Source organism: Homo sapiens, chromosome X (assembly GCF_000001405.40).
Source record: "Homo sapiens chromosome X, GRCh38.p14 Primary Assembly".
NCBI classification, from domain to species: Eukaryota; Metazoa; Chordata; class Mammalia; order Primates; family Hominidae; genus Homo; species Homo sapiens.
In genome coordinates this window covers 41275478-41293403 of record NC_000023.11, presented here as the reverse complement: position 1 = coordinate 41293403, position 17926 = coordinate 41275478, and the positions used below count along the sequence as shown (strand labels likewise).

General features: G+C 48.8%; 1 long non-coding RNA gene and 1 pseudogene across 1 annotated transcript, besides 5 other annotated features; both read right to left on the bottom strand.

Annotated features, from left to right (window-relative positions):
- RNA5SP502 (RNA, 5S ribosomal pseudogene 502) lies at window positions 488-606 on the bottom strand (annotated as a pseudogene).
- Window positions 1620-2184: an enhancer, noted in NCBI's record as "NANOG-H3K27ac hESC enhancer chrX:41150473-41151037 (GRCh37/hg19 assembly coordinates)". NCBI's record gives its function as "activates a minimal SCP1, AML or CMV promoter by ChIP-STARR-seq in primed H9 embryonic stem cells {active_cell/tissue: H9 hESC(primed)}" and the evidence as "EXISTENCE:reporter gene assay evidence [ECO:0000049][PMID:30033119]".
- Window positions 16578-17078: an enhancer, noted in NCBI's record as "OCT4-NANOG-H3K27ac hESC enhancer chrX:41135579-41136079 (GRCh37/hg19 assembly coordinates)". NCBI's record gives its function as "activates a minimal SCP1, AML or CMV promoter by ChIP-STARR-seq in naive H9 embryonic stem cells {active_cell/tissue: H9 hESC(naive)}" and the evidence as "EXISTENCE:reporter gene assay evidence [ECO:0000049][PMID:30033119]".
- LINC02601 (long intergenic non-protein coding RNA 2601) lies at window positions 16626-17665 on the bottom strand. Its single transcript, NR_135616.1, has 2 exons — window positions 17521-17665; window positions 16626-17315 (listed from the first exon to the last, which is right to left on the bottom strand). It is a non-coding gene; the product is annotated as a long intergenic non-protein coding RNA 2601 (long non-coding RNA).
- Window positions 17053-17412: a silencer, noted in NCBI's record as "silent region_20773". NCBI's record gives its function as "represses an Ori minimal core promoter by ATAC-STARR-seq in GM12878 lymphoblastoid cells {active_cell/tissue: GM12878}" and the evidence as "EXISTENCE:reporter gene assay evidence [ECO:0000049][PMID:35858748]".
- Window positions 17053-17579: a biological region, named in NCBI's record as "OCT4-NANOG-H3K27ac hESC enhancer GRCh37_chrX:41135078-41135578".
- Window positions 17079-17579: an enhancer, noted in NCBI's record as "OCT4-NANOG-H3K27ac hESC enhancer chrX:41135078-41135578 (GRCh37/hg19 assembly coordinates)". NCBI's record gives its function as "activates a minimal SCP1, AML or CMV promoter by ChIP-STARR-seq in naive H9 embryonic stem cells {active_cell/tissue: H9 hESC(naive)}" and the evidence as "EXISTENCE:reporter gene assay evidence [ECO:0000049][PMID:30033119]".

The following is a 17926-nucleotide window of genomic DNA, read 5'->3' as shown; positions in this document are numbered from 1 at the left end:
GCCAGGACCCAGCTACACAGCAAATTTCCCTCACTGTTTGTTGGACTTCATCATGCTTCCTTCACAAAGCCTGCAAAATCATGGAATTCGAATGTTTCTTCATTTTACAGATGAAGAAAATGAGGCAGGGAGAGGAGCAGACTGATTCTCAATGCTGTGCTCCCCTCCTCAGGGAAGAGCTGGGGAACCCATGTGGGGATAGGAAAGAGGTAAAATGTTACACAGCTAGTTAATGGCAGAGCAGAGATGGAACTTAAGTCTGTCTTTTAATGCCCATACCAGTGTTATTTCTGTTTTCTTCTATCAACACAGTGAATGTCATGGTAGATTTGCTGATGTTGAGCCATCTTTGCATTCTTGCAATAATCCTGCTTGGCCATGTTTTAGTGTCTTAACACACTGCTGAATTCAATTTGCTATTATTTTATTTAGGATTTTTGAATTTCTGTTCATAAGTGAGTTCAGCCTATTTCTTTCTTATCTTGATACTCTACTTTCTTGTTTTAATATCAGGATTCTCCCATCCAAGTACTAACCAGGCCCGACCCTGCTTAGCTTCCGAGATCAGATGGGTTTGGGTGCATTCAGGGTGGTATGGCCGTAGACCAAATATCAGGATTCTAATAGTTCCATAAAATGAATTGGGCAGCTTCCTCTCTTTTCTATTTTTTTTTTTTTTTTTTTTTTGATGGAGATTCGCTCTCTTGCCCAGGCTGGAGTGCAATCACTGCTCACTGCAACCTCTGCCTCCCAGGTTCAAGCGATTCTCTTTGCCTCAGCCTCCCAGATAGTTGGGATTACAGGTGTGTGCCACCACGCCTGGCTAATTTTTGTATTTTTAGTAGAGACGGGGTTTCACCATGTTGGCCAGGCTGGTCTCAAACTCCTGACCTCATGATCCACCCACCTTGGCCTCCCAAAGTGCTGGGATTACAGGCGTAAGCCACTGTGCCCAGCCCTCTTTTCTATTTTCTGTAACCATTTACATTAGGTAGGATTTCCTATTTTTTGAAGATTAGGTAAAACGCATCCATGAAATTGTCTGAACCTGGTTCTCTTCTTTCCTCCCTCTTTCCCTCTCTCCCTTGCTTCCTTTCTTTTTTCTTTCTTTTGTGGAGGTAGGGTGGGGGCCTTGGGAGAGATTTTTGGCTTTCTGTTTCGTATTTTTAAAAAGCGTTATTGGTTATTCTGATATCCCATTTCTTAATTGATTTAGTTATTGTACATCTAGAAGATTGTCTCTTTCATCAAGTTTTCCAAATTAATTGGCATAAAGCTGTTCATAGCGATTGCATGTGATTTTTCAGATCTCTTCAGTACATTTTCCTCTCCACCATGCTGACTGTTGTCCAGTCTCGTGCCACAAGGCCTGCACAATGACTTTGTAATCATTATTCTGAACGCCAGCTGCAAATGTGCAGTAAATGTATACTGTCCATTTATTAATAAGACAGGGAGCATTAACCAGATATGGAGAGAAAGCCACAGTTCGTAGGGCTTGCAAAGGGCATTTAGTTTAGTTTACTCTCCTGCCCCAACACAAATCTGCATAAAATACTGCTTGGTTTTGTCACTGCCTTGCTTAAGAATGTCCCACTAGCACAGAGTCTAAATTGCTTGGCCAGGCTTTCAGGATCCTATGGAGTCAAGCCCTCCATAAATGACTGTGTCCAGTATCAGACCTAGAGCCAGGGAGAATGCCAGAGACAAGGGCACCTTAAAAGGGGTGTCTACAGTTAGTTGGGAAGTCAAAATAACACTATGAGGTAAATCTCATGCTAATCTGCAAAATACTGCTTTAGATACAAACAGCAGGGAGTGATTGGGTGAGGGGAGAGTTGGCCTAGTCCCAGGGGCCAGGAAGGGAATGGCCAGGCAGGAAGGAGCACAAAGAGAGTTTTAGGCAACAGAAACTGCCAGAAGAAAGGCAAAATTAGTGGGACAAAGGTGCAGGGGCAAAAAGCACCACAGGATCCAGAATGTGAGAGGGGGGCCTGGCTTAAGAGGCCATCTGATTATAGACATGGAAGGAGAGAGGGCCTGCCTGCTGGGCTCTTCTGTGTCAATCAGGAACTAAAACCATCCAATGAATTTTTGGGAGTGAGAATCAACAAGATTCACTGATATTCTTTCATATAAGAATACATTCTTGCCAGGCGCAGTGGCTCACATCTGTAATCCCAGCACTTTGGGAGGGTGAGGCGGGTGGATTGCCCAGGAGTTTGAGACCAGCCTGGCCAACGTGGCAAAACCTCATCTCCACTAAAAATACAAAAATTAGCCAGGCATGGTGGCAGATGCCTGTAATCCCAGCTACTAGGGAGTCTGAGGCAGGAGAGTTGCTTGAAGCCGAGAGGCAGAGATTGCAGTGAGCCGAGATTGCATCACTGCACTCCAGCCTGAGTGACAGAGTGAGACACTGTCTCAAAAAAAAAAAAAAAAAAAAAAGGAATACATGCTTGTGGAGACAACCCAAATGATGTCCATGGGTAAACAAGTGCGATACATCTATACAATGGAATATTATTCAGGCTTAAAAAGTAAGGACTTTTTTTTTTTTTTTTTTGAGACAGGGTCTCACTGTCACCCAGGCTGGAGTACAGTGGCACAATCACAGCTCACTGCAGCCTTGACCTCCCGGTCTCAAGTAATCCTGCCACCTCAGCCTCCCAAGTAGCTGGGACCACAGGCATGCACCATCACACCCAGCTAATTTTTGTATTTTTAATTTTTGTTTATTTTTTGTAGAAAATAAATTTTGTAGGAAGGAAATTCTGACACATGCTACAACATAGGTGAAACATAGATATTCTACTAAGTGAAAGAAGCCAGACACAAAAGGACACATATTGTGAGTCCACTTATCTGAGGTCTCTAGAATAGTTAGGTTCATAGAGACAGAAAATGGAATGGTGGTTGTCAGCAGCTAGTGGGGAGGGGAAAATAGGGAATTAGTGTTTAAGGGATACAAAATTTCAGTTTGGGAAGATGAAAAGGTTCTAGAGATGGATGGTCATGATGGTTGCACAACAATGTGAATGTACTGAATGCCACTGAACTGGACAAGTAAAAATGGTTAAAATGGTAAATTATAAAGTTTTTCTATTTTTAATTTTTTTTCTTTTTTTATTCTTTTTTTTTGAGACAGTGTTTCGCTCTTGTTGCCCATGCTGGAGTGAAATGGTGTGATCTTGGCTCACTGCAACCTCCACTTCCTGGGTTCAAGTGATTCTCCTGCTTCAGCCTCCCAAGTAGCTGGAATTACAGGCGTGCGCCACCATGCCCCGCTAATTTTGTATTTTTAGTAGAGACGGGGTTTCTCTATGTTGGTCAGGCTGGTCTCAAACTCCCGATCTCAGGTGATCCGCCCGCCTCGGCCTCCCGAAGTGCTGGGATTACGGGCGTGAGCCACCACGCCTGGTCTGATTTTTTTTTTTTTTTTAAAGAAGTCTTGCTCTGTCGCCCAGGCTACAGTGTAGTGGCACAATCTTGGCTCACTGCAACCTCTGCCTCCTGGGTTCAAGCGATTCTCCTGCCTCAGCCTCCCAAGTAGCTGAGATTACAGATGCACACCACCACGCCTATCTATCTATAGAAAGGATCTTTCCACATAGTTTGTGGGGCTTTTGGCTTTTTTTTCTGAGACTGAGTCTCGCTCTATCGCCCAGGCTGGAGTGCAGTGGCATTATCTTGGCTCGCTGCAACCTCCGACTCCCAGGTTCATGTGATTCTCCTGCCTCAGTCTCCTGAGCAGCTGGGATTACAGGCGTGCACCACTACGCCCAGCTAATTTTTGTATTTTTAGTAGAGACGGGGTTTCACCATGTTGGCCAGGCTGGTCTCAAACTCCTGACCTCAAGTGATCCGCTCACCTCAGCCTCCCAAATTGCTGGAATTACATGCGTGAGCTACCATTCCCAGCCTTTCCACATAGTTTGAATGTCTGACAATAAGCATGTAATCTTGCAATAATAAGATAATTAAAAGTGGAAAAAACTAAACAGAGGAGGATGTCATGTGACAGATAAGCATAAAAAGTGCTGGGGCTCTGGCTGAAAGCCACCTCAGGGGAGGGTTTTCCTTCTTCAGAGCAGGGGCTCTGCTTTCTCGTAAATCCCTGGGGATGACTGAGAAGCAGATGAAAGGTTAGGGCTCCGGAGGAAGCTAACTCCCAGCAACCTCTGCCCATTCTCCCCCTTGAGCAAAGGGACCTTGGAGGCTGGCAGTGAACACAGGAGATGCACCCTGCATCCAGTCCCACCTACCGCCACACACACCTAGGGCCTGGCCAGGGGTCTAAGATGGCCAAGTGCATAGCAGCTAAGACACACACAAGCAGAAGCCCTTGAGAGGTGGGCACCTTGCTGGAGAGCACAGGCCAGGCCTCATCTGGACAGCAACTTCCCCACCCCACCAGGGACAGTCCCATCCAGACATTCTGCGTTGCAGGGAGAAGCCAGCACGGTCCAGGGGACTGCGAGGGAACTGGCATCTGAAATGTTCATTCCTCTGCTTTGCTCCCAGGTTGCTAGGGTAGAATCCATAAACGCGCTGACTGGCTTCATTACTGATTAATAAGTTCCAGCTCTATGCCTGACAATCCCAGGCGGCTCCCTGCTTTTCCTAAGAGCAGGTTCAAAGCTGTGGCTCTCCCCCAGCCCCAGGCTCCTACAGAGCAGTTCACTGGGGCCTCCTCTTCCCAGGCCTGGTGAACTGGCCTTGCCTTCACCTCTGGGGGTGTGTGTGTGTGTGTGTGTGTGTGTGTGTGTGTGTGTTTGTGTCTCCATGTGCCCATCAGATCCTTCCTGAAGCAAACTGGCTGAGTGGTCATGCACCTTCCCAAGGCTGACCTAGCCCTTGAACGCATCCTACTCATTCCCTGTCTCTTGGGTGTTTCTTGATTTCCCATGTCCCTCTTACGTTTTCTTTCTCTCTTTCACCAGACATCACTGTCACAGGCTGTAAACAGGATCCGTATCTCCCCTGTCCTTGAAAAAAATCAAACCCAAATAATGTCCTTAGTACAGCCTCTCTCCTTCCTGTGACCCAAACCACTGACAGCTGTCACATAACTCTATTACAAGTCTCCCCAGCACCTCCCAGGCATTCTGTTTTTTAAAAATTAATTTGTATTAAATAGAGATGGTCTCTATTTAATAAACATTAGCGTCTCTTTATGCTGCCCAGGCTGATCATGAGCTCCCAGCCTTAAGCAGTCCTCCTGCCTTGGCCTCCCAGAGCACTGGGATTACAGGTGTGAGCCACCACATCTGGCCTGATCTGCTGTCACTCTAGATTACATTTGTCTTTTCTACAGTTAGATAGAAATCTAATCATGTAGTATATATTATTTTGTATCTTGCATTTTTGCTCAATGTGTGTTTTTTTCAGACGGAGTCTTACTGTAGCACCCAGGCTGGAGTGCAGGAGCACGACCTCGGCTTACTGCAACCTCGACCTCCTGGACTCAAGTGATTCTCCTGCCTCAGCCTCCCAAGTTGCTGGGATTACAGGCTCACGTCACCACACCTGGGTAATTTTTGTGGTTTTAGTAGAGACAGGGTTCACCATGTTGGCCAGGCTGGTCTTGAACTCTTGACCTCAAGTGATCCACCTGCCTCGGCCTCCCAAAGTGCTGGGATTACAGGCATGAGCCACCATGCCTGGCCAATTTTTGTATTTTTTTGTAGAGATGGGATTTCACCATGTTGTCTAGACTGGTCTCAAACTCCTGGGCTCACGCAATCTGCCCACCTTGACCTCTCAAAGAGGCACTTTCTTTTTTTCTTTTCTTTACTTTTTTTTTTTTTTTTGAGACAGAGTTTTGCTGTTGTTGCCCATGCTGGAGTGCAGTGGCGCGATCTCGGCTCACTGCAACTTCCGCCTCCCGGGTTCAAACCATACTCCTGCCTCAGCCTCCTGAGTAGCTGGGATTACAGGCGTCCACCACCACGCCCAGCTAATTTTTTGTATTTTTAGTAGAGATGGGGTTTCACCATGTTGGCCAGGCTGGTCTGGAACTCCTGACCTCAGGGATCCACCCGCCTTGGCCTCTCAAAATGCTGGAATTACAGGCGTAAGCCACCACACCCAGCCCCACTTTTTTTTTTTTTTTCTAAACAGCTTTATAATTTACATACCGCTGGCGGGGCGAAGTGCCTCGCGCTTGTAATCTGAGCACTTTGGGAGTCCGAGGCAGGTGGATCGCTTGAGGTCAGGAACTCGAGACCAGCCTGACCAGCATGGCGAAACCCCATCTCTACTAAAAGTACAAAAATTAGCCAGGCGTGGTGGTGGGCACCTGTAGTCCCAGCTACTAGGGAGGCTGAGGCAGGAGAATCACTTGAACCCGGGAGGCGAGGCTGCAGTGAGCCGAGATCATGCCACTGCACTGCAGCCTGGGAGACAGAGCAAGACTCTGTCTTTAAAAAAAAAAACAAAAAAAAAACCCATACAATCCACCCATTTAAAGTGTATAATTATGTTGTTTTAGTATTTTCACAGATGTTTGCAACTATCATCACTTCAGTTTCTTTTTGTCCCATAAACTTTCTGAAAATTGGACCCTTGAAATATTATGGAATAACTCTAGAAATCAGATTCTCTCCCCCTCCAGGGTGCATTGTGTTACTACTGTCTATTCTTGTTTGCTTCTGAACTAATTCTGTGTGTTCTTTGTCATGTGTGGCCACTGAAGTCCACTGGGTTAGCTTAGTGGTCAGCTAATGAATGGATTGAGATTTCCTTAAGTATTTGGAAACCATAAGTCTCCCAGTCTTTGCTGGTCTTTACTGTGGGTTTTTGGAGCAAACCTTCAAACTCAGCCAGGCAGCTGACAACCCTACCTTAGCCTTCACGTCCTGCTTGCACAGAGCATCAGGGTTCCCCATTGAGAGCCCTCCTGTTGTAAATAAAGGAGCTGGGGAGACCAAATTATTGTGTGGGAAGTTTGCTTAGCAAAATGGTAGACATGCCTAACTGATCCCCTTTCTCCCCTTCTCTCTTATTAACAGTCCCCCTATGTTATTGGGGACAGAATTGTGCCCAGACAAGAAAATGATGTTTCCCAGCCTCCCCTGCAGCTGAGTGGGGACAACCATTGAGATGTAAGTGAAAGTTGATGGATGATGTTGAGAGGTGACAGCATGCTGGCAGCCCTCACAGCCCTCGCTCACTCTCTGCGCTTCCTCGGCCTCGGCGCCCACTCTGGCCATGCTTGAGGAGCCCTTCAGCCCACCGCTGCACTGTGGGAGCCCCTTTCTGGGCTGGCCGAGGCCGAGGCCGGCTCCCTCAGCTTGCGGGGAGGTGTGGAGGGAGAGACGCGGGCGGGAACCAGGGCTGCATGGAGCACTTGCAGGCCAGCGTGAGCTCTGGGTGGGCGTGGGCTCGGTGGGCCCACTGTCTGAGCGGCCGGCTGGCGCTGCCAGCCCCGGGCAGTGAGGGGCTTAGCACCCGGGCCAGCAGCTGTGGAGGGTGCACTGGGTCCCCCAGCAGTGCCGGCCCACCTTGGCGCTAAGGCAAATTCTCGTGGGCTCTGGAGCAGATCTTCCCAACCAGAGTATGGGAACCGCTGCAGGCCTGCCACAAGATACAGATAACTGTAAATGTCATAGTCATTTTATTTGAATTTTATGCAAATTCAGTATTTATTTATTTATTTATTGAGATGGAGTTTTGCTCAGGCTTGAGTGCAATGGCGCCATCTTGGCTCACTGCAACCTCTGCCTCCTCAGTTTGAGTGATTCTCCCGGCTCAGCCTCCCAAGTAGCTGGGATTACAGGCACACACCACCGCACCTGGCTAATTTTTTGTATTTTTTTTTAATATATTTTTTTGAGACAGAGTCTCACTCTGTTGCCCAGGCTGGAGTGCAATGGCACGATCTCGGCTCACTGCAAACTCTGCCTCCCGGGTTCAAGTGATTCTCCTGCCTCAGCTTCCTGAGTAGCTGGAATTACAGGTGCCTGCCACCATGCCCAGCTAATTTTTGTATTTTTAGTAGAGATGAGTTTTCATGATGCTGGCCAGGCTGATCTTGAACTCCGAACCTTAGGCGATCCGCCCGCCTCAGCCTCCCAAAATGCTGGGATTACAGACGTGAGCCACCGCGCCCAGCCAATTTTTTGTATTTTTAGTAGAGACAGGGTTTTGCCATGTTGGCCAGGCTGGTCTCGAACTCCTGACCTGAGGTGATCCACCCACCTCTGCCTCCCAACGTTTTGGGATTACAGGCGTGAGCCACCGTGCCTGGGCCAAATTCAGTATTTATGTAATCTCCAATACTTTTTATTACCATAATTATATACTATAAAGAAAATGTAATAGTCTATTTTTACCAAGCCTCTTGTAGACACTGCCAAATAAATCATACAAATATTATCATGCCCTTTGTGTGAAAAAGTTAAGGAGGCCTGATCTAGACCTTGGCTAACCGTTCCTTTTTAGGGGAGTCATCATGTACTCACTGAGGGAGGCCGCTTCTTGGTTGTGCACTCATTTCCCTGACACTGCCACCTTAGTGAATTTGGCTATGGCCCACATTTCTCAACTGAGAGCTCAGACCATTGCCTCTTGCATGGGATGGAGGGAGCGGCTGATTGCAGGAGCCGGGTGTTGCACTGGGCATGATGGCTCACACCTGTAATCCTAGCACTTTGGGAGGATCGCTTGAGGCCAGGAGTTTGAGACCAGCCTGGAAAACAGAGTGAGATCATGTCTCTACAAAATTATAAAAAAAAAAAAAAAAAAAAAGTTGGATGTGGTGGTATGCACCTGTAATCCTAGCTACTTGAGAGGCTGAGGGAGGAGGATTGCTTGAGCCCAGGAGGTCGAGACTGCAGTGAGCTATGATCACACCACTGCACTCCAGCCTGGGTGACAGAGCAAGACCCCATCTCAAAAAGAAAAAAAAAAGAGGTTGAGTGTTGATGTCTCCAAGTTTCACAATCAAAAGCCCGCATGTCTCCCCTTTGCAAACCTTCCAGCACTGTCTGTGGGGATTAGCTCCCCTGTCAGCCCTCACCACCTAGCCAGGGGCAGCCAGAGCTGAGGTTTGTTCTGAAACCCAAGGAAAGCCCTGGGGAGGAGAGCTTGCTAATTAGAAAAGGCCCTCAGCTGCCTTTCCCCTCTTCCTTCTCAGCATCCCTGGCTCTCAAGGTGACCTGCAGGGACCAGGACCAGCAGCAGCATCGGGATCCTGATAGAAATGCAGATTCTCAGGTCCTACCCCAGCCTTATTCAGAAACTCTGGGCCCAGAATTCCCTCCAGGGGATTCTGATGCATGCTCCAGTGTGAGCATTTGCATAGCTCTCTAAAGTCTTTCCCCTGATTGCTTAGAGCGCATCTTTCCTCCTTGCTAACGCCCTCAATCAGGGGTAGTCATAGACCTGAGCAGCCTCTGCAGTTGGAAAGGTGGGCCTGGCAGGCCCTGTGGGATCTCAGCCCTGCTAGGTAAGCCGTGGAGCTCTTCCTGGTCAGGGAGAGTGTGCATGGGGGTCACTAGCCCCATAGGAAACTAGAGAGATGGAGACAGACTTAAACAGCACAAAGAAACCAGAGAAACCAAGTTCTCCAGTGGGTACCTCTGAATCACCAGTAGAGGTTTTCTTCTTTTTCTTTCTTTCTTTTTTTTTTTTTTTTTTTTTTTTGAGACAGAGTCTTGCTCTGTCACCCAGGCTGGAGTATAGTGGCACGATCTTGGCTCACTGCAACCTCTGCCTCCTGGTTCAAGTGATTCTCCTGCCTCAGCCTCCCAAGCAACTGGAATTACAGGTTCCCGCCACCACGCCCAGCTAATTTTTGTGTTTTTAGTAGAGATGAGGTTTCACCATGTTGGCCAGGCTGGTCTTGAACTCCTGACCTCAGGTGATCCACCCACCTTGGCCTCCCAAAGTGTTGGGATTACAGGCTTGAACCACCACGCCCGGCCTTCTTTTTTTTTTTTCTTTTTTTTGAGAAAGGATCTTGCTCTGTCGCCCAGGCTGGATTACAGTGGCACAATCATAGTTCACTGCAGCCTCAACCTCCCTGGATCAAACCATCCTCCCACCTCAGCCTCCCAGGTAGCTGGGACTACAGGTGCACACCACCATGCCCGGCTAATTTTTTTTTACTTTTTTTGTAGAGATGGGGTCACCCTATGTTGCCAAGGCTGGTCTCGAACCCCTTGGCTCTAGCGATCCTCCCAAAGTGCTGGGATTCCAGGCATGAGCCATCGCACCTGGCCAGTAGAGCTCTTCTGAATCGTGCCTTTTTGTTTTAACCTTAGGTGCGGAGGGTCAAACATAATACTTCTCTGTTTGTGGCATATTAACAACATTGATCCACATAAGGCGTGGGTGTGTGTTTGTGTGTTTGTGCACGCGCACGCGTGCGTACCATTTGATTTCCATTTCCCACTCACCTCTCCCCCCACAGGCAATTGTTTTGTTGTGTATTCGTTCCTTCATATATGCACTTGCAAAATGAATACTGCTATTTTGCATGAATTTATTTTTTATGTTAATGTAAGTGGTATAGCCATGTAACATACCTATGGAAAAAAAGGCATGTATCATACATGTACAGCTAGATACATTTTCACAAAGGGAACATACCTGTGTAGCCAGTGCCCAGCTCAAGAATGAGAATGACCAGCACTCCAGAAGCGCCTTGTGCCCCTAGGGTAATTTCTATGGGACTCCTAACAACATAGATTGGTTTTCCTACTTTTGAAATTTTTATCAGTGGCACCTGTATGCATGTATTTTTGTATGTATATATTTTGAGTTTACATTAATGGTATTGGGTTATATATTTCACCTTGTTTCTCACCTTTCTCTCACCAAGGACTAAGTTTTTCAGGTCTATTTCCATTACTGTGTGTACATTACTATGTATACATAGAATGCATTGCTTTTATTTATTTATTTATTTATTTATTTATTTATTTATTTATTTTTTGAGATAGATTCTCGCTCTTGTCACCCAGGCTGGAGTGCCGTGGCACGATCTCGGCTCACTGCAACCTCCACCTCCCGAGTTCAAGTGATTCTCCTGCTTCAGCCTCCTGAGTAGCTGGGATTACAGGCACCTGCCACCATGCCCTGCTAATTTTTGGACTTTTAGTAGAGACAGGGTTTCACCATGTTGGCCAGGCTGGTCTGGAACTCCTGACCTCAGGTGATCCGCCCACCTCAGCCTCCCAAAGTGCTGGGATTACAGGCGTGAGCCATCACGCCCAGCCTAATGCATTGCTTTTAATTACTGCATAATAGAGGTGCAGGATTGGACCGGGCACGGTGGCTCATGCTTGTAATCCCAGCACTTTGGGAGGCTGAGGTGGGCGGATCACTTGAGGTCAGGAGTTCCAGACCAGCCTGTCCAACATGGCAAAACCCCGTCTCTATTAAAAATACAAAAATTAGTTGGACATGGTGGCATGCGCCTGTAATCCCAGCTACTGGGGAGGCTGAGGCAGGAGAATCGCTTGAACCTGGGAGGCGGAGGTTGCAGTGTGCCAAGATCACGCCACTGCAGCCTGGGTGACAAAACCAAACTCCGTCTCAAAAAAAAAAAAAAAAGGTCTAGGATTCTAGGATGGGCATCTACCTATCCACAGTCCCTGAGACAGGCAACCTAATCGCCTGGGGATCCCTGCCATTACAAACAGCACTGCAGTGACCATCTTGTGCACATTCTTCATGGGCCCATGGAAAACAGGTTGTGCAGAAAAGAATGGACACAGCAGGCCTGGCTGTCCTCCTGAGAAAGGCCTGCGTACCAGGGTGACCCTTGGCTGGTGTCTGGGAACTTGGATTTGGGAGGGTTCTCACCCTTCCCTAACAGATAATAGTGGCTCACTGGGCCTAAACTGTTTATTTTTATTTTTATTTTGAGACAGGGTCTCGCTCTGTCACCCAGGCTGGAATGCAGTCACAGCTCACTGCAGCCTCAACCTCCTGGGCTCAAGCAATCCTCCCACCTCAGCCTCCCAAATAGCTCGGACTACAGGTATGAGCTACCATACCCAGCTACTTTTTAAAATTTTTGTAGAGATGCGGGTCTCGCCATGTTGCCCAGGCTGGTCTCAAACTCCTGGATTCAAGCAATCCGCCTGCCTCAGCCTCCCAAAGTGCTGGGATTACAGGCATGAGCCACCACTCCCTGCCACAGTTCCTCTTTTGTAATCTGCTGAGCTCCATTGTGATGCCTCTGCCCTGTCCTGCCTGGAATGCCGCTCCCTCCCTTCCCTCACTTTTCTGATGGCTTCTTCAAAAACTGAATTCACTATTCACCTACAGACATTCCCACCACCTTGAGGAAGGTGGGGTGTCACTGCCAAAGTGAAAGACAGGCGGTACCACCTACCATTAAGAAACAGGCGGCCGGGCGCGGTGGCTCACGCCTGTAATCCCAACACTTTGGGAGGCAGAGGCAGGCGGATCATGAGGTCAGGAGATTGAGACCATCCTGGCTAACACAGTGAAACCCTGTCTCTTCTAAAAATACACAAAATTAGCCGGGCGTAGTGGCACGTGCCTGTAGTCCCAGCTACTCAGGAGGCTGAGGCAGGAGAATCGCTTGATCCTGGTAGGCGGAGGTTGCAGTGAGCCGAGATTGTGCCACTGCACTCCAGCCTGGGCAACAGAGCGAGACTCCATCTCAAAAACAAAACAAAACAAAAGAAAAGAAAAAAAAAAGAAGAAGAAGAAAGAGGCACACCAGCCTGGGCAACATACAGCAAAATCTGTCTCTACAAAAAATAAAAAATCAGCTGGGTGTGGTGGCACGTGCCTGTACTCCCAGCTACTCAGGAGGCTGAAGCAGGAGGATTGCTTGAGCCTAGGAGGACAAGGCTGCAGTGAGCCGTGTTTGTGCCAGTGCACTCCAGCCTGGGCAACAGAGTGAGACCTTGCCTCAAAAAAAAGGAAGAGGCACAATGTTTGGTGTCATTGGATTTTGGAGGCAACACACACCCTATTCTAATGAGCTACTCTGACCCAATTGCCCAGTAGACCAGAGATTGCCAGTTCTGAGCAACTGACAGCTCTGCAGTCCAGGCTTTGGTACAAGCTGCTCTGCCACTTTGGCCGATAGTACTTGAAAAGTCTTTGGCAAATAGCTGGGCGGTGGCTCACGCCTGTAATCCCAGCACTTTGGGAGGCTGAGGTGGGCGGATTACCTCAGGTCAGTAGTTCAAGACCAGCCTGGCCAACATGGTGAAACCCCGTCTCTACTAAAAATACAAAAATTAGCTGGGTGCAGTGGCACCTGCCTGTAATCCCAGCTACTCCAGAGGCTGAGGTGGGAGAATCATTTGAACCTGGGAGGTGGAGGTTGCAGTGAGCCAAGATCGTGCCACTGCACTCCAGCCTGGGTGACACAGCGAGACTCCGTCTCAAAAAAAAAAAAAAAAAGAAAAAGAAAAGTCTTTGGCAAATAGACTTGGAGCCCCCGCAATCCAAGATAAGAGAATCACACACAGACCCCCAGGGTCCATGGTCAGTCAGGACATCTGCAGCAAATTGTTTTAGCTTCCCGTTGGATGCCTGATCATGGAACATCTTCAAAACTTGGTTCACCACTTACTTTCAGGGACCTTTCCATAGATAACTACATCATACACTCTGTGGCTTCAACTTTCTTGGACTGAATGTGTGCTTTATTAAACAAGACTTGTAGCCATTTGCCTTGCTAAGTGATCCACCTGTGTTGACTTTGTCTCCCAACTAGTATGTGATATTGAGCAAGTTAACTAAATCTTGAAAAATGAGAATAAGCCAGACACAATGAAGCAGACCCATAGCCCCAGCTACTCCAGAGGACGAGGCAGAAGAATTGTGGGACCCCGTCTCTAAGAAAATAATAATAATAAATGCCGGGTGCAGTGACTCATGCCTGTAATCCCAGCACTTTGGGAGGCCGAGGCGGGCAGATCACCTGAGGTCGGGAATTAGAGACCAGCCTGACCAACATGGAGAAACCTCGTCTCTACTAATAATACAAAATTAGCCGGGCGTGGTGGCGCATGCCTGTAATCCCAGCTACTCGGGAGGCTGAGGCAGGAGAATCGCTTGAACCCAGGAGGTGGAGGTTGCGGTGAGCCGAGATCGCACCATTGCACTCCAGCCTGGGCAACAAGAGCAAAACTCCATCTCAAAAAAAAAAAAAAAAAAAAAGAAAGACAGAAAATAATAACAACAACAACAATAATAATAATAAAAGTGCTAGACTGGGTGCAGTGGCTCACGCCTGTAATCCTAACACTTTGGGAGGCTGAAGCAGGAAGACGGTTTGAGCCCAGGAGTTCGAGACCAGCCTGGGCAACATAGTGAGACCCTCATCTCTGCAAAACATCAAAAATTAGCCAGGTGTGGTGGCACGTGCCACCTGTACTCCCAGCTACTCCGTAGGCTGAGGTGGGAGGATCACTTGAGCCCAGGATGTTGAGGCTGCAGTGAGCCATGATCATGCCACTGCACTCCAGCCTGGGTGACGAGTGAGACTCTGTCAAAAAAAAAAAAGAGGTAAATAAATAAAAATAAAGCCCTTAGAAAGGTGCCTGGAGACTGGGCGCGGTAGCTCATGCCTGTAGTCCCAGCATTTTGGGAGGCCGAAGCAGGTGGATCACCTGAGGTCAGGAGTTCAAGACCAGCCTGGGCAACATGGTGAAACCCCGTCTCTACTAAAAATACAAAAATTAGCTGGATGTGGTGGCAAGTGCCTGTAATTCCAGCTACTCAGGAGGCTAAAGCACGAGAATCATTTGAACCCGGGAGGTGGAGGTTGCAGTGAGCCGAGATCGCACCACTATACTCCAGCCTGGGCGACAGAGAGAGACTCCGTCTCAAAAAAATTAAATTAAAAAAAGGAAGGTGCCTGGAACATTTTCAACAGTCAGTACATTTAAACTGCTGTTGCTGTTATTATGGCTGATGGGAGAGGGTTGCAGAGACAGAGTGGGGATTAAGTGAGAGAAACACCTGCCAATGGCACAATGATTATGACCTCCGGAGAAATAAGGAGGCGATGAGTGTTTGCAGGTGCTCCTGCAACAGGGCTCCATGGCTTTGCTTCAATGCAGAGCGCCGCTGGACTCTCGTCACGGCAGATGGAATCACGCTGCCAGGGCAGAGGGGAGCAGCCCTCAGAACCGTGCCATGAGTGTCAGGCCACAGGGTCGTGGCCATCCTTGGGTGAGGAAACCGCTTTTCTGCGCATGCTTCCCCAGGTGTTTAAAACTCTCTCTGGAAGATGAATCAGAGAACGCTTTAGACAGGTTGCACTATGGCTGGAAATAGAAATGCCGGGATCTCTCATTTCAAGTTTTCCACAAATGTTAATTTCCTTTTTCTGAAAGGAAAAACACTTGATTCTAATTTTTTTGTAGGCCTGAAATGAGATTTTTCCTCAATTGGAAGATGTGTTGTACCGTGTATGTACCATACACTAAATGAGAGAAGGGTTGGGAAAACGTAAGCAGGAAACTTTTACTGCAAAAGTAAAAGGAATTACTAAGCGAAAGCCAATCTGAAAAGGCTGCATACTATATGATTCCAACTATATGGCATTCTGGAAAAAGCAAGACTATGGAGAAGGTGAAAAATAATTCAGCAGCCACCAGGTGTTGTGGGGAGGGGGGATGAATAGGTGAAGCACAGCGGATTTGTAGGGCAGTGAAAATACTCCGTATGACACTATAATGGTGGATGTGTGGCATTATGCATTAGTCCAAACCCACAGAATGTACCATAGCGACAGTGAACCCTGATGTCAGCTGTGGCTCCTGGGTGATAATGATGTGTCCATGCAGGCTCATCTGGAGGGGGATGCTGCTGGGGGGAGGTTGTGCTTGTGCAGGGGCAGCGAGGAATATGGGAAATCTCTGCACCTTCCTCTCAGTTTTGCTGTGAACCTAAAACTGCTCGAAAAAAATAAAGTCTATTTAAAAAAAAAAAAAGTAAAATGAGAAAGCAAACTTGGTTTTGAGGGCATATTATTTAGAACTCTGCTGGGTGCAAGTAACAGAAGTTTCTAGCTCACTGAGCCCCAGAAGGACGTTATAGGTCATGGGTGCCTCGGGAACCGGAAGACAGGGATGGTTACAGATGCTGGGAGGATGCTGCAGTGAGGCGGAAGGCAGAATCCCTGTGGCCTCTCTCTCCCCAGCTCCCCTGTTTACACAGGATGATCTCCCGCTTTCCATAGACACTGTTTTCCCTTTCTGTACCCCAATCCTAAATTCCTGGGCAAGGGGACGCTGGTGGCCCAGTGCTTGGGGCAGGTGCCTGCTCCCAGCCCCAGCAGCTCTGGTCATGGTGGGTGGAGGTCCGGGTATGGTTCAACGGAAGCTGCCTGCAGCGCAAACCTACAAGGAAGTGAATGTGTGTGTTGGGTGGGGCAGGGCGCTTTCAGGGGGCCCTAGTTTTGTAATAGTCGTGCCCCCATCCCCACCCCAGCAGGAATATTGTGTTAGCTCCTGGCTGAACTAGGCCCCACTTTCTGTGCTTGCTGCTGACACCCGCTTTCCTTTTGATTTAAGGCCGTTGCAGGGCTCCGCTTTGGAGCGGGCATTGGAGGAATTCTTTGACCACCAAGCAGCCTCCATACCTCCCTCCTACATAACAGAGCCACCGAGAGGCTGTTTGCATTCTGCCTGCTTTCTCTTTTTCCGTTGCAGTAGTTTATTAATTAGTGTGCAAAAAATAAAAAGGAGGTAATAACCTTATTTATGTGCTAGTCCACGTGTTCAGTGTGCTCATTTTTTCTGCAGCCTGGCATCGGGAACCGGAACGTTTGGCCCCAGGAGAGGGGGCCGGGACCCTGGGTGCCAGAATCTTACAGTGCGGAGGCGACAGGCCAACGCAGTTCCTTCCTTTTCCTCCCTCCCTCTCTTCTTCTCCCCGCCACCTTCCTCCCTCCCTCCTGCCTCCTCTCTCCCTCCTCCCTCACCCCCTCCTCCCTCCGCGGGTTCTGGGCGTCCTTGGAAGGAAAGGAGAGTGGCCTCGAGGTCGGAGAACTCGCAGCAGTCATGGCAAACATCGCTGGGAAGCGGGACAGGATCCCCGGGAGGTTGAAACTCGGGTTCCAGGCGGCCTCTGGTGGCGATCACGGAGGGTGTGCCTCCCGGTCCCGCCCCTCACCCCGCAGCCGGGGACCCTCAGCCACCTCCCGGGCGGGCCACCCCGCCGGGGTCTGCTCTGGCCGCTGTCCCCCCGCATCATTTGCCACGAGCCCCTTCACTTCAGCGGTGCACGCGGGGCCATCTCCGCTTCCACAGTGTGGTGTTTAAATCCGCAACGATCACAGCCCAGCGGGGGACTCAGCAGGGAACCTGGGCAAGATGGATGCAGGGATTCAACGACGGCCCGGTCTGGCCAGGCCAAGCTTCTGGCCCCTCCTACAGCGGTTTGTAATGGAGGCTGATCCGCCTTTTCCGTGGTTGCAGCGAGGGAGAGCCTTGTCGCACCTCGCAGCACCCCCACCCCCCTAACCCCCATCGTCCAGCAGGCGGGCCCCGGCTTTGCACAGTTACCAACCTGAGCAGCCCCGCAGCGCGGCACCCAGCCAGCAGGAGGGAGGGAGGGCCAAGGTGGCTCCCCGGGGAGGCTGGAAGTCCTTGCCACCCCGGACTTGGGGACTGGGGGCTTCTGCACTGTTGGAATCCTGCCTGGGGGCACGAGCTGCCTTGAGAGAGGTTTCTGGATGTAGAGTCAGTTGGGCTCCCTCCCTGCCTTTTTTTTTTTTTTTTTTTCACCTCCTGAGACATCCAGGAAATGTATAGATATCTGCAGCACTCCGGGATGAACTGGAGGGTATTGGGGGAGTCAAAATGGGACCCGGTGGGAAAAACATATATTTCATTTTCCGTATATTATGTAATCCTGTAAATAAAATTAAATACATTTTAAGCTGGGGTGGTGCTTTCTGTAACTGAATGAAAAG